Source organism: Homo sapiens, chromosome 16, assembly GCF_000001405.40.
Source record: "Homo sapiens chromosome 16, GRCh38.p14 Primary Assembly".
Lineage (NCBI taxonomy): Eukaryota > Metazoa > Chordata > Mammalia > Primates > Hominidae > Homo > Homo sapiens.
Window position 1 is genome coordinate 8,534,113 of NC_000016.10, and position 14,378 is coordinate 8,548,490.

The 14,378-nt window shown below is 43.1% G+C and overlaps 1 protein-coding gene across 2 annotated transcripts in view; it reads right to left on the reverse strand.

Moving 5' to 3' along the window:
* The window catches only part of TMEM114 (transmembrane protein 114), a 63,960-nt gene that overhangs the window by 7,561 nt on the left and 42,021 nt on the right, over positions 1-14,378 (reverse strand). The window contains exon 3 of one of the 2 annotated variants that reach the window (NM_001290098.1): positions 3,457-3,714. The exons of the other annotated variant lie outside the window; for it this stretch is intronic. Coding sequence (NP_001277027.1) covers positions 3,704-3,714 — 11 coding nt within the window. The 3' untranslated portion in view covers positions 3,457-3,703. Of the gene's footprint in view, positions 1-3,456; positions 3,715-14,378 lie in introns of those variants that run through there. 2 annotated transcript variants of the gene reach the window in all.

A 14,378-nucleotide genomic window follows, 5' to 3' on the forward strand; every position in this document is an offset into this window, starting at 1 on the left:
AATCTGAAATATTTATTGTGCATATTTTAAAGGCCAAAGTGCTACATCATTGAGCTCTGCCCAGATGGGGACAAGGTTTCGCAGTGTGATGACTGGGGTAAGGATGTGCCGGACAAAACTGCAGACAATTAATCTGTGCAAATGTAATTCTTCAAAGGCGACCGGAGGACTCGCTTAAGCGCCAAAGACAAACCAGTCCATAATGACCATCATTAAAATTTAATGCAATTTGCTTATTTGAAAAAAAAAAAGGAATTCTTCATGTCCTTTATAGCTATCACTTATCATACTCCTACAGGGATAATGTGAGAAGTGGGAGCAGGTGGAGGGTGTAGAATTGCTTTGAGGGCTAATCATGAGCCAAATTCTGCTGGGAGGGTCTCTCCAATGCACCTACATCCGTAGACATCCCTCTCTCCTGTTCCCATCACTACTTTTCCTTTGGCAGTGAAAGAAAAAATAGTAATGGGGTGGTACATCAGATGGGATAACACACACAAGTGCTTGGTGGGGGTGCTGAAGGCAGAGGTGCTGGTGGATAGGTGAGCAATATGGTGGTTGTTACTGACTTTGAGCAAGTCCTTTGATCCTCAGGACTCTCACTTATAAAATCTACAAATGTACTTGGCACATGGTCAACATTGAATTCATGCAACTATCATCAGAGTTATCATCGCTATGGTTGTACTCCTAGATACTGGCTGTGGGCCTTTGGGCAAATCTGCTAAGATTTTCATGAAGCGGAATTATTACTGTGTCTTCCCCATTGGGATCTTGGGAAGATTAGACAAAGTAACATGTGCCCAGCACTTAGGTCCCTGTGCAAGTTCAGAGAACAGCTACTCCTGTCATCATCCCCTTCTCCATCGGTCTCAGTGACTGACTTTCTCCTAACGTCAAGACTCGCTTTGGAACTGGGGCTGGTGCTGAGATGCTATGGTGGGGAGTGGTGGTGGAGGGGTGTGAGTGGTGGGAAGTCTCACCATCTGAGTGTCCTCTGTGCCTAGTCTCTGAGTCTCTGTGTCCCCCATCAATAAACAGGGGCATATATTGGAACCACATACTTCATAAGCCTTGTTTTGAAATAAAATGCAGTCATAGATACTAAGGCACTAGGAAGGGTTAAAAAGCTCTATATAAATATAAGGTGTTGATGGTTATTGTTTATTAAGTAGCAAGGACTTTTTTATTATTACTTTGATTCCTCTAGCCCTGAGATAGCAGATAAATCAGAAAAATGTCAAGTCAGAGTGAAACATAGATCTCCAGGAACCAGGGTACAGAGCTTCATCGGGATTTTTTTTTCTTCTTACAATCTTCGCTGAAAGACATTTGAAGGGAAGTTAATAATTGAAACATAATGAATAATTGCAGTTTGGGGTCCATAGCACAATCATAATTGCCAGTTTATTACTTTTTTAATACATTTGCCAAGTATTAATAATATTGAAATAATGCAAGAAGATCATGGGAAATAAATGAAATATATCATTTGTCAAGGAAAAAGGATTTCCAAACTGTAGGCACTGATCTTATGAGTTCTGTGATGAATGTGGCATTGCAGCAAATCCTTCGTCGTGGGAACGTCACCTGCAAATTTTGGTTCCTGCATAATTCTCATCAAGTCAAATAAAGGTGATGGTATGGGAGACTCACTGCGTAGGGAGCCCTGCCATGTTTCATGTGCTGCCTGGGGTGTGTGGAACACAAAGGGCTGAGAATCACAATACCCATGTTTTAGCCCCGGCTCTTTGGGTCGATCCTGAGCAAGTGTCTTATTAAGTCCTCATGGTCAAAATGAAAGATAAAAGCTTCAAAAATGAAGGGAGTGGGGAGGGCGCGGTGGCTTATGCCTGTAATCCCAGTACTTTGAGAGGTCGAGGCGGGCAGATCACCTGAGGTGAGGAGTTGGAGACCAGCCTGTCCAACGTTGTGAAACCCCGTCTCTACTAAAAATACAAAATCAGCTGGGTGTGGTGACGTGCACCTGTAATCCCAGCTACTCGGGAGGCTGAGGCAGGACAATCACTTGAACCTGGGAGGCGGAGGTTGCAGTGAGCCGAGATAGCACCACTGCACTCCAGCCTGGGTGACAGAGCGAAACTCTGTCTCAAAAAAAAAAAAAAAATGTAGGGGTTGAAACACATCCTGAATCCCAACTCTTTCATCTCTAACAACCCATTTTATTATTTTTAGCCCCCAGGTACTTGCATGTTTTGAAAGCTCTTCATATAATAATTTGTACATAGCTAACTTCACCACACCTTGACGTCTTCTTCGGGAACTTTGAGGGACTGAACATCCTTGTCTCTAAAATGAGAAGGTTGACTTGAGTGAAGGCTTGTAACCTCGGTATCTCAACATTAGGGAATAATGACTAGCAATGGGGAGAGTCACAACTAATTTATTACTAAAATCAGCTCAAGTAATGAAGTCTTCAATAAATTGCTTAAACAAATTAAAGTGGATTCAAAGATCCCTCTGACAAAGCCATTCTTGCACCCTTAAGTTCAGATGCTTATTCTTTTTCTTTTTCTTTTTTTATTTTGGTTTGTTTTTGTTTGTTTGTTTGTTTGTTTTGGGTTTTTTGCTTCCATGTTTTAATCATGTACCAGGCATTTAGCTCAGGAAAAGGGGAGGACTCCCAGTTGAGGCACTGGGAATCACCACTGTTCATGGTCTAATTATCCACCCTTAGTCAGTAGTAAAAGGCAGAGCAGGTGTGAAGGGCACTTGTTTGTTTCAAAATAAAGATAATATTTCCTTTGTCCTGGCTGTAGGAATCACACATTTTTACTTTTATTAAACATACAGGCCAGGTGCAGTGGCTCACACCTGTAATTCCATCAGGTGTGAGCCAAAGTGGGAGGATCATTTGAGCCCAGGAGTTGGAGACCAGCCTGGGCAACAAGATGAAACCCTATGTCTACAAAAAATTTAAGAATTAGCTGGACTTGGTGGTGCATACCTGTAGTCCCAGCTTCTTGGGAGGCTGAGGCTGGAAGATCGCATGAGCTCAGAAGTTGAAGCTGCAGAGAGCTGTGATTGCATCACTGCAGTCCATCCTGGGCAGCAGAGTGAGATCCTGTCTCAAAAAACAAAAACAGGCCAGGCATGGTGGCTCACACCTGTAATCCCAGCACTTTGGGAGGCCAAGGCCGGCAGATGACCTGAGATCAGGAAGTCAAGACCAGCCTGGCCAACATCATGAAACCCCGTCTCTACTAAAAATACAAAAATTAGCCAAGCGCGATGGCACACGCCTGTAGTCCCAGCTACTTGGGAAGCTGAGGCAGAAGAATGGCTTGAACCCGGGAGGCAGAGGTTTCAGTGAGCCAAGACCTCACTATTACACCCCAGCCTGGGTGACAGAGTGAGACTCCATCTCAAAAACAAACAAACAAACAAAAAAACAAATATATATTTATATATGATAATAAATCTGCCACCAGGATATAACTGATGCTAATATTTTAATAAACATTCTTCCCAATTCATATAGCTATTCACATATATGTATAGATTCTATTTTTCATAACCATGATAATATCATATGATATCATATGGTGTGAAGCTACAATCTGGTTTTATCCGCCATTCTGTTTTATACCAGGAACTTCTTTCCATGACGGCAAAGCCCTGCAGAAGTTTTCCATTCTATTGATTGACTGTTAATAATTCACCATTGACATCCATGGAGCTATCAAAAAGCAGCTGTAAAAAAGAACAAGAAAGCTTATTGTGTACTGATATGAACCACCTCCAAGATATGTATAAGCATAAAAGGCAAGGTTAGAACACTGTTTACTTTGCTCCTATTTGCATAAAACAAGAGAGAAAAGAAAAAGGAAAGGTGTCATGGCAGGGGTGGGTGGGGGGCAATATTTAAACATTTTTGCCCTGAGACTGGGCGCCGTGACTTACACCTGTAATCCTGGCACTTTGTGAGGCCAGGGCAGGTAGATTTCTTGAGCCCAGGAGTTCGAGACCAGCCTGGACAGCATGGTGTGACTGTCTCTACAAAAAAAAAAAAAAAAAAAAACTTCGCTGGTCATGGTGGTGCCTGCTTGTAGTCCCAGCTACTCAGGAGGCTGAAGTAGGAGGATCACTGGAGCCTAGAAAACCATGATCCTTCCACTGCACTGTAGCCTGGGTGACAGACCAAGATGATGTCTCAAAAATAAAAAAAAAAAGACAGACATATTTGCTCTGGAGGGGAAGCCAAAGAATTGATGGTGCTGGTTGTGCTGGGAGATAAGCCAGTGGGCAGATAGAGACCTGAGGCAGGAGAGAAGTGTCATCGTGTTCCCTATTGTACCCATGGAATTTTGGACCATATGGCTGTATGAACCTAGACAAAGAATGTGTGTGCTGTGGTTTTTTTGTTTGTTTGTTTGTTTTTTGTTTTTTTTTGAGACAGAGTCTTGCTCTGTCGCCCAGGCTGGAGTGCAGTGGTGCGATCTCAGCTCACTGCAAACTCCACATCTTGGGTCCACGCCATTCTCTTGCCTCAGCCTCCCCAGCAGCTGCGACTACAGGCGCCCGCCACCACGCCCAGCTAATTTTTGTATTTTTAGTAGAGATGGGGTTTCACCCTGTTAGCCAGGATGGTGTCGATCTCCTGACCTCGTGATCCGCCCACCTCGGCCTCCCAAGGTGCTGGGATTACAGGTGTGAGCCACCGCGCCCGCCCGGCCGTGCTGTGTTTTTATGTTGTATATACTTCATTGCATATGTGTGTGGATGTATGTATTTAATTTGAATACAGTAGATAAATTTGTCTTATATTTAAATTATATCATTTATAATGTATCTGTGTGTGACTTTGAGAAAACAGTTTACCACTGTGTCCTCCATCTCTAGTCAAATGCCTGGAATAAAAGGAGCTCAATAAATATGTACTCAATAACTTCATGTTTGAATGAATAAATAAATTCTGATTATTAAATAGCGTATTTGTGAGTTGCGATTTTTTTTAGTTACTTCCACTTTTTTCAGTTTGGGTGTTCGGTCACAATCTGGGCATTGCCATGGAACATGTGACCCATATGAATAACGTCTGCCTGGTGTGCGGTGCTGAATAAACGTTTGAGGATCCCTGGGCCAACTGCCCTCAGGGTGCTTCCAGCTGATATAATCTTGAATTCCAGGATGTGATCTGGAAGACACAAGATTCGGGAGTCCTTTTCCTCTGAGAAGGGAATAGAGGGGTGGGAGGTAGAGAAGCTAGAAGCAGAATCCCAACCCAAGACCCACTTACCCAGAATACTTGCCCCTGGCCCGAGTGACTGCTCCAGCTCCGCAAAGCCTCCTTCTCTCTCTGACCCTCATCAGACCCAGAGGAGGGCTCTGCCTCCTGCAAGCAGCCTCACATGCCTGGACAGATCTTCCCTGCAGGCTCACACCACCCTCTCCTTCCATCCTCCCACGCTCCAATTCCCTTATCCAAGGAAAATGACCCCTGAAGCTTCACTCTTCCAGATCCCATCCTGGGATTCGGGGTTGTATCAGCTGGAAGCACTCTGCGTGCAACTGGCCCAGGGATCCTTAAATATTTATTCACCACCACAAGCAAGACAGATGTTGTTCATATAGATCTCATGTCCCATAGCAATATCCAGATTGTAACAGAAAACCTAAACTAAAAAAGAAAAAAAAAATGGAAGTAACTTTAAAAAATTACAACTCACAAATATGCTATTTTTTTAATTATTTTATTTTTTTACACAGAGTCTCGCTCTGCCACCCAGGCTGGAATGCAGTGAAACAATCTCTCCTCACTGCAGCCTCCACCTCCCAGATTCAAGCGATTCTCCTGCCTCAGCCTCTGGAATAGCTGGGATTACAGGCACATGCCACCATGCCTGGCTGATTTTTGTATTTTTAGTAGAGATGGGGTTTCACCACGTTGACCAGGCTGGTCTTGAACTCTCGACCTCAGCCTAAGGTGATCCACCCGCCTCAGCCTCCCAAAGTGCTGGGATTACAGGCTTGAACTGCTGTGCCGGGCCACAAATATGGTATTTAATAATAAGAATGTATTTATTCATTCAAACATCAGGTTATTGAGTGCATATTTATCAAATTGCTATAAATATATATATAGCACTTGGCTAGAGATTAAGGATACAGTGATGAACTACTTTTCCATAAAATAGTTTATAGGAGGAATAGAACAGTCTCAGATAGAGGTAGGAGCTCTGGAGTCCAGCCACCTGAGCAGGAATCCCAGCTGATCGCTCGCCTGCTGGGTATCATTATATCAACCTCAGTTTCCTCAACTGTGAAATAAGAGTGATGATGATTGCATTGAATTCATCAGATTGTCATAAGTGTTCAATGAAATAATGCAAGTAAAATAGCTGGTATATAGCAAGCACTCCAAAAATCTCAGCTATTATTACTGTTATAATAGCACCCATTTTATCCAAGGTTGGATAGTCAATGAAAGATACAGAAAAAGACAGGGAGACTTGGGAGTTGATAAGAACAGGTGAAGTAGAATTCAATTCATTCACTGAACCAATTTTTATTGACCACTCACTATAGCTCAGCATTCCACTAGGTACTGGGAACCAGTGGTAAGCAAAGACAGACATAGTTCCTATCTTCTTGGAGCTTACAGACTGGTGGGAGAGATGGACATAAACCAAAGAATCACACGAATAACTGCTAAATTTTGACAATGACAATTGTTACAGAAGAGAGATGTAGGATGTTTCAAGAGCTGACAACAGGAGGACTTGATCTAATGAGAGGTATCAGGGCAGGCTTCCCTGGAGAGTAAAGTTTGAGCTGAGATGGAACTCAGGTTAAAAGACTAAGCAGCAGGTGCAAAGTCCCTGTGGCAAAGACATACGCATGGAACTGAAAGAAGTCCAGAGTTGCCAGAGAGAGACTACAACGGGGAGTGTAGAGTGAGGTGAGGCTGAGAGCGAAGTCTGGACCAGCCCCATGCAGGGTCTAATGATAATAATGACCACAAATAGAGTGGCAGCAATCATATATTGAACTCTTGCTATATGCCAGGCATATTATATCATATCGTCTAAACTCATGACAATACCATGAAGTTGGTGCTATTATTTTCTGCGTTTTACTAATGGGGAAACAGGCTTGAGGTCATGTGGCTACCAAGGACGTGAACCACTTATGTCTTACTCAAGAGCCCTCACAGTCCTGGACTCAGAGCATCATACAATTTGTCATACAAATGAGGACAGTCCAGGGTTACATTATTAATAATACTAAGACCACAGACATAAACCAGGACCTCCCCAAGCACTACTGGATAATATCTCAGGATAAAAAAAAATGAAAGCACTTTGTAAACAGTGATATCTACTAAGAGATCAGAGACAATTCGTCTGACCATAAGGTTCAGGAAGGGGAAAGATCTCAGTGTAACCAGGAGATCATTTTCTTGAACCAATGCCTCATTCTGCTACAACATGAAGCTTCATTCCAGTCCCACATCTTCAATATATTTGACATTTTGAAAAATAATTAATTGTGTCAGTTTTATTAATGTTTTAAAATACAAATTAAAAATGTGACAAATGAGTGAGAAACAGCAGTCTGTTTTAATGAAAATTTCATATTCTCCATCAATAAATCATAAACTAAAGAGAACCCAACATAAGCCACTATATTCCTTGCCTGTCTGTGTATGGGGTTACTTGGCAGAGGGTTCCACTTGGGAACTGGGAAGATTCTAGAATTCTGCAGGGCCCAAGAGTTCAGGCTGGTGAGGATCAAAGGGGTCTGGCTTACAAAGACGTAGCACAGGCTCCAATTCCCCTGTTCTTTCCAAGAACAAAGGGCTTAGAGAGATGTAGCACAGTGGCCCCATATGAACTTTACCTCTAAGGGATCCACCACCCTGCGAGGCAGCTTTCACCAGGACAGCATGGTGACCAAGAAAAAGCACGCCAACATTAGGCAGAAATGCAGCAGAAGCATACCATTGTGCTGGCTGGAGAAGTCATCCCCCATCACCCTTCCTGGTTGAGATGTTGAGGATGATTCGTGGGGGGGGGTCCCTTGACCAAGGAGGATGTGAAACCAGGTACCCCTCTACTTCCTCTGCCAAGATTTCTCCTGCTTCAGACTCTGTTCCACCTGTAGGGCTCATTCCCAAACTTTGTGTCTAGAACCTCTACTGAAGTGTTCTTTTCCCTGTTTTAACATCTTACAAGAGATGTTTTATCCTACCTCTGGGTAGCAGTAAACCAATTCCATCTATTTCACATTTTTAAAGAAACCCAGATAAGGAGATGTGAGGGTCTCCCTTAGTCATCCCAGGTCATTTTAAATTCCCAAGTCTGCTCCTCCAGCACCATCTTGGAAAACTTTCATATCTGATTTCAGGTTTGCAAAGGATTGGGCCTGATTGAGCTAGACCTGCTTTTCAAAAATTCTAAATATGTAAGAACGATTTGGCAGGGAGTGGTTGGAAATGCAAATTCCTTGGCTTTATAACGTTCTAAATATTGATTCTGTGGGTTTGGGGTGGGGGAGGCCAGCAACAGGGGTAGGAGTGTGCTTTGTAAATAAGCAACCTAGGTGCACTATTCAGAAGCACTACACTAAATGAGCCTTGGAAGGAACAGGGGAATTGGAGCCTGGGGTTAGTGGGTTATCTGAGGGAACTGGGATATTTCCAACCAGAATCTCCTCAGTCTCAACTCCCCAATCCTCCCAGCTCTTCCCCACATCCTCCCTCTGCACCAGAGTTTAGCAAACGTAGTCTTCTTAGGCCAGATTGAAATGCCAGAATGTATGGAGATTAATCACAGAATAATACAAACTGCCGCTTATCATCTCCTATATATTTGACATAATTACCCTACAAGCAACATGAAAATGTTATACTGTAATAACTCCTAGCCAGGAGAAAAGGCAGTGCTGCTGATAACACGAAAATAGACAAGAATACAGAACACAGCCCTTCGAAAACTTTTAATTAATTTTTCCCCCTTTCAGCATAATTGATGTCAGTTCAGACTTCGGTGTTTCTGAAGTGTTTGGCCTCATAGCAAAGAAACTTAGGATCAGACAGACTGACTACAGAGCAAAGCTGGGCCCCAATGGGGGACTAAGGAGAGACGGCATGAGGAGCACTTGTTCATTTTTAAACACATAATTTAGACTATGTCACTTTTCTATTTAAATTATTTTATCGTTCCCCCTTGCCCTGCCCTGCAGAACCCAAAGACCAAGGTCCTTTGGTGTCACTGGGGATAATTCATGGTGTGGCACTTGCTTGTTACCTTGTCAATTTCACCTGCTTTCCCTACCTACCAAGTGCCCCAGTGTGACTGAGTCACTTGCGTCATGCAATGGTGCACCTTGCATCATGCAATGGTGCACCTTGCACCATGCTTCATTCCTCCAAAACTTTGCACTTGATGTTCTATCTACTAGGACACCCCTCCCACCGAAACATCATCTGGCCAACCCAACTCATTCTTTAAAACTCAGCTCAGATGTCATCTCCTCTCCAGAGCCTTCCTTTCTCAATGACAGCCAAGGTTTCTGCCTTGGGCTCCTAGAGCCTCCTGACCTTTCTTCTAACATGGACTGTATCACCCTATATTGCATGAACCCACCTGTCTCTCTCCTCCTGTAGAATGTGAATGTATCATTCATTTCTATAGCCCAAATTCCACACAATGTCTAGGATAGAAAATGTGCTGAAAGAATATTTGAAGAATGAACAAATAAATATTCTCTATAGCTACTAGAGTAACCTAACGCTTTGTCAAAGTCCATAACATAGGAACCTACACAGTAAATTCCTTGTGTAAAAAACCATGCATCTCTCTTCATAAACCACTGTGATTCATTGGTCAAACTGGCTTATGTAATCCAATATTTTCCTTTTTGCCTAGACTGCCAGGAAGCGCAACGCTAAATGCCATGATAAATAATAACAACAGCATTAGCCTAGGTTTTCTTTTTGTTGATAGATTTTCTTTTTCCTTCACTGTGATTTTGTTGCTGTTTTTGTTTTCTGTTTCCCATTTACTGACTTATCAGTAGCAAGCAACTTTATATAGGCAAGCTGCAAAGACCAAGTAAAGCATATATGCAAGCCCTCTCATGCTGGCTTTATGTCTTGCTTAACAGATAAGCACAGCTTTTGGATAAATAACAAGTATAATTTGTCTAAGTGGTAAACGAATACTCAACAAATGTTTGTTGAGCATTAACTGAGCCAGGCATCAAGCTGGGTCCTGTGCATATAGAGAAGAAAACACATGGTCTCCTCATTCAAGGAATGCCTTGTTTACTGGGAAGTAAAGGGGGTGATATTTGAGCAGGGTCTTAATGGATATGTAGGGGTTCACCAGTAGAAGAAACAAAACCTGCTGAATTTTAAGAACGTCAAGTGACTTGATATTGCTACAGGATACATGTGAATGAGCAGTCGGTAGACGACCAACCTGTTGAAATGAGGAATGATAGCTCATAAGACTCTTAGGAACAGACGTTGCTGATAAGTTTAGACTTTACCCTACAGGCCACTGGTCTATAACTGTTTTACATAGGGGTACCCCTTTTCAGTGTTCAGAGATTTCATGGCAGTAGTCTCAGTGCAAATTGACTGAGAAAACACATGACAGCAAAAGTCATAGTAAGTTCAGTGATGCGTTTAAATTAATTTGTATTTTGTTCAACCCAATCAAATTTACAGACATTTGAAAAATAGCTGCACCCAGGAAAACATACACTGCTCCCCTCAGAGATATAAATAAAATATGAATGTGTCTATTCCAAGTGGTTACTCTTCTCCTCAACATCTTTCTCTCTCTCTCTCTCTCTCTCCACCTCCCCCCAACCCCGTAATATCTTATCTTGTGAGGCTTGGCATTGAAATGCAGTTTCCACAGTGCATGTTTCCAGTGTGGTTATAAGTTGTGGACCTGTTTTATCAGATGGTCTTGTCTTTTGTTTCATCAGGCCTATATTGCACCCTTTCTCTTTTCTTTCTAGTTGTTCTCTTCTTTCTCTTATGTTCTTGATCACTAGTCTATTTTTGGCCAGGCTCAATGGCTCACACCTGTAATCCCAACACTTTGGGAGGCCAAGGTGGGAAGATTACTTGCATCCACGAGTCCAAGACCAACCTGGGCAACATAGCAAGAGCCCTTATCTACAAAAAATAAAAAATAACCAGGCACAGTGGCACATGCCTGCAGTCCCAGCTACTCAGGAGGCTGAGGCAGGAGGATTGCTTGAGCCCAGGAGGTTGAGGTTGCAGTGAGCTGTAATCATACCACTGCACTCACCCTGTGCAACAGTTATACTCTGTCTCAGAAAATAATCAACATCATCATCATCATCATCACCATCATCACCATCATCATCACCTATTGCTATCAAGTTACATTTTGATGTGTTAATCTAATTTTGTGGTCCTTAAATATTCATGTGTATCAGAACCACCCAGAGGGCTACTCAAATACAGATTGCTGGGTGTCATTCCCAGAGTTTCTAATTCAGTAGATCATTAGTGGGGTCTGAGAATTTGCTTTTCTAACAAATTCCCAAATGAGGCTGATGCTGCTGATCTGGGGACCACACTTTGAGAATCAGTGAGCTATCTTATCTCCCTTCTCCAACTATATTACCATTTCATTTATGGTTTCATTGGTTTCTTACATATTTTACCCTTCTTAAAATTCTCAAACCTTTGATTTCATAAATAAATGCTCAGCCAGGCATGGTGGCTCATGCCTGTAATCCCAGCACTTTGGGAGGTTGAGGGAGAAGGATTGCTTGAGCCCAAGAGTTTGAAACCAGCCTGGGCAACATAGCAAGACCCTATCTCTACAGAAAATTTAAAAATTAGCTGAGTGTGGTGGTGTGTGCCTGTAGTCCCAGCTGCCTTGGAGGCTGAGGCGGGAGGATCACTTGAGCCCAGAAGATGGAAGCTATAGTGAGCTATGATCATGTCACTGCACTCCAGCCTGGGAACAGAGCAAGACCGTGTCTCAAAACAAAAAAGAAATGTTCAAAATGAATAAAACAATTATATTAAGAACATAAATGTTCATAAATACATACAATCCTGAAGAACACTTTTACATGCACCACGATGTTTCAGACTGATTGTGTATACTTTATAGAATTTCTTAACTCATTTCAAACTGGTAAGTAAATCAACACATATAATTTGCATTCCTTCTAATTGTCACCTGTCAGCAATTGTAAACATGTATAAATGAGGAGCCAAGACTTTCATGTGATCTCTTTAGGTTTACATGTTTACCTGAGACACTGAATGTACCGACAGTAGCCAGACTCTATATAAAGATGAACCCTGACCCAAAAATCTGCAGCGACCAGCCCGGACATTATCTACAGGAACCAGCCCAGGGTGCCAACCTGTTCTCTGTAAGTCAGACTTGTAGAAAGTCCGGCCACTATCTCTAGCAATTGGTTCAGGAAGCCAAGCAACAACCCCAGTAACAATCAGTCCCAAATGCCCAGGGTTCAAATAATAACTAACAGCTTCCCTAAAATTTTTGTCCCTGTATCCAACTGGGGATAAACCCAAGAAAGCTAACCAGATACCCCTACCAGATCACAGCAGATGACCACTTGTAATTATCCCACCTTCAGGTTCCCCATGACAACAGCTGCAATCAGAGCACACCAAGTCTTCTTTTTCTTCTGCAATAAAGGTTTCGCTCTCCTCTATCTTCCTTTGAGTGTCTGCCAAAACGCAAGTGATGCTGGCTGACTCCCTTGCTATGGCAAGCTCTGAATAAATAGCTTTTTCTTGTTCTTATTTGGTTGGGCTGCGTTTATTTCTAAAGCTAGCTGGGAGGACAGGGGAAAGCCACAGCCAACTGAGCCTTGGGTAAAGGTATCTAAGCATTACATAAAATACTTGTATGTACAAGACCCATTAGAATGTTTATCCAGTCTGCATATAATGGTTGCTGCAGGTAAGTGTCCTCAGGCTCTTTTCCAGAATTCTGTTGAGGGATCGTGTGGTCTCATTGACAGCAAATACGGCTGGGGGAAAAGGGGGGTCGTCAAGGAATTTTTGAGCTGAAAGTTGTCATGATTTTTGCATTAAAGACACCATCCCAGCAGCTGTGTGGAGGATGAGGAGTAAGGAAGGGCAGAAAGCATCAACCAGGATTTCTCCAAAGGGGTTAAGCAAGAACTCTAGACCAGATTTTGTCTCCGTGGAGGCCCTTCCTTGTCCTGAAATGCATTCCCATTGCCCCTGAAGAGACGCGCTTTCTTTCTTTCTTTCTTTCTTTCTTTTTTTTTTTTTTGAGACGGAGTCTCGCTCTGTCACCCAGGCTGGAGTGCAGTGGTGCAATTTCAGCTCACTACAACCTCTGCCTCCTGGGTTCAAGCTATTCTCTTGCCTCAGACTCCAGAGTGGCTGGGATTACAGGCACCCGCCACTACGCCTGGCCAATTTTTGTATTTTTAGTAGAGACAGGGTTTCACCATCTTGGCCAGACTGGTCTTGAACTCCTGACCTTGTGATCCACCCGCCTCGGCCTCCCAAAGTGCTGGGATTACAGGCATGAGCCACCGCACCCAGCCAGCACGCTCTCTTTACTGAACACAAAGGTTGGCAAGGTTGTCTTCTCAGGCAGGAGGAGGTCCTTGCGTGGCCTCTGAGTGAAGTCTCGGGGAAGTGCGGACCACAGTCATGGTTATTTAATTACCATGAGAGACTCTCATCAGGATACCAACAGGCAAGTTCACAGCTGAGAAACCCCTCTTACTTGCTGGGCTTGGGAGGCCCATCATTCCTTTGATGGGCCTGTGGCCTGCTCTTTTGACCTCCAACATCTGGATTTGCTGGGGCTGTGGAAATGATTCCCAGTCCAGGTGATAGAAACGTCAGGAACAAGACTCTGGCCAAAACATTTGGCCGGACTTTGTTAATTTCATGAGGAAAGGGAAAGTGCAAGTTTCACGCTCCTGGAACGGCTGCAAGCAAGACCCTCTGAAAAGCCTGTTCTTCAAATAAGTTACTTAGACACCGTGAGTTTGAATCTAAGCTCCCGCCCCTATTAACGGTGGGACCCTGACTGAGCAAGGGGCTTAGTTAGCCTCTCCACCCCTGGATTTTCTCATTTGTGAAAAGGACATAATATGAGTTCCTGCCTCTCAGGGTTGCTGTGAAATGATTCATTTGAAGGGTCTGGCAGTGTGCCTGACCCATAGCAAACTCTGGCAATTATAACACATGTTTCTTGAGTGCCGGGTGGCACCTCTATAGCTTCCTACAGTCAAGGTCAATGATTCTCAGATACTAGCCATGTACAGCATGGCTTTACAACCTTTTATTATTATTACCTCCCTGATGAGTCTTTTAAACTTTTTTTCCTAATCGT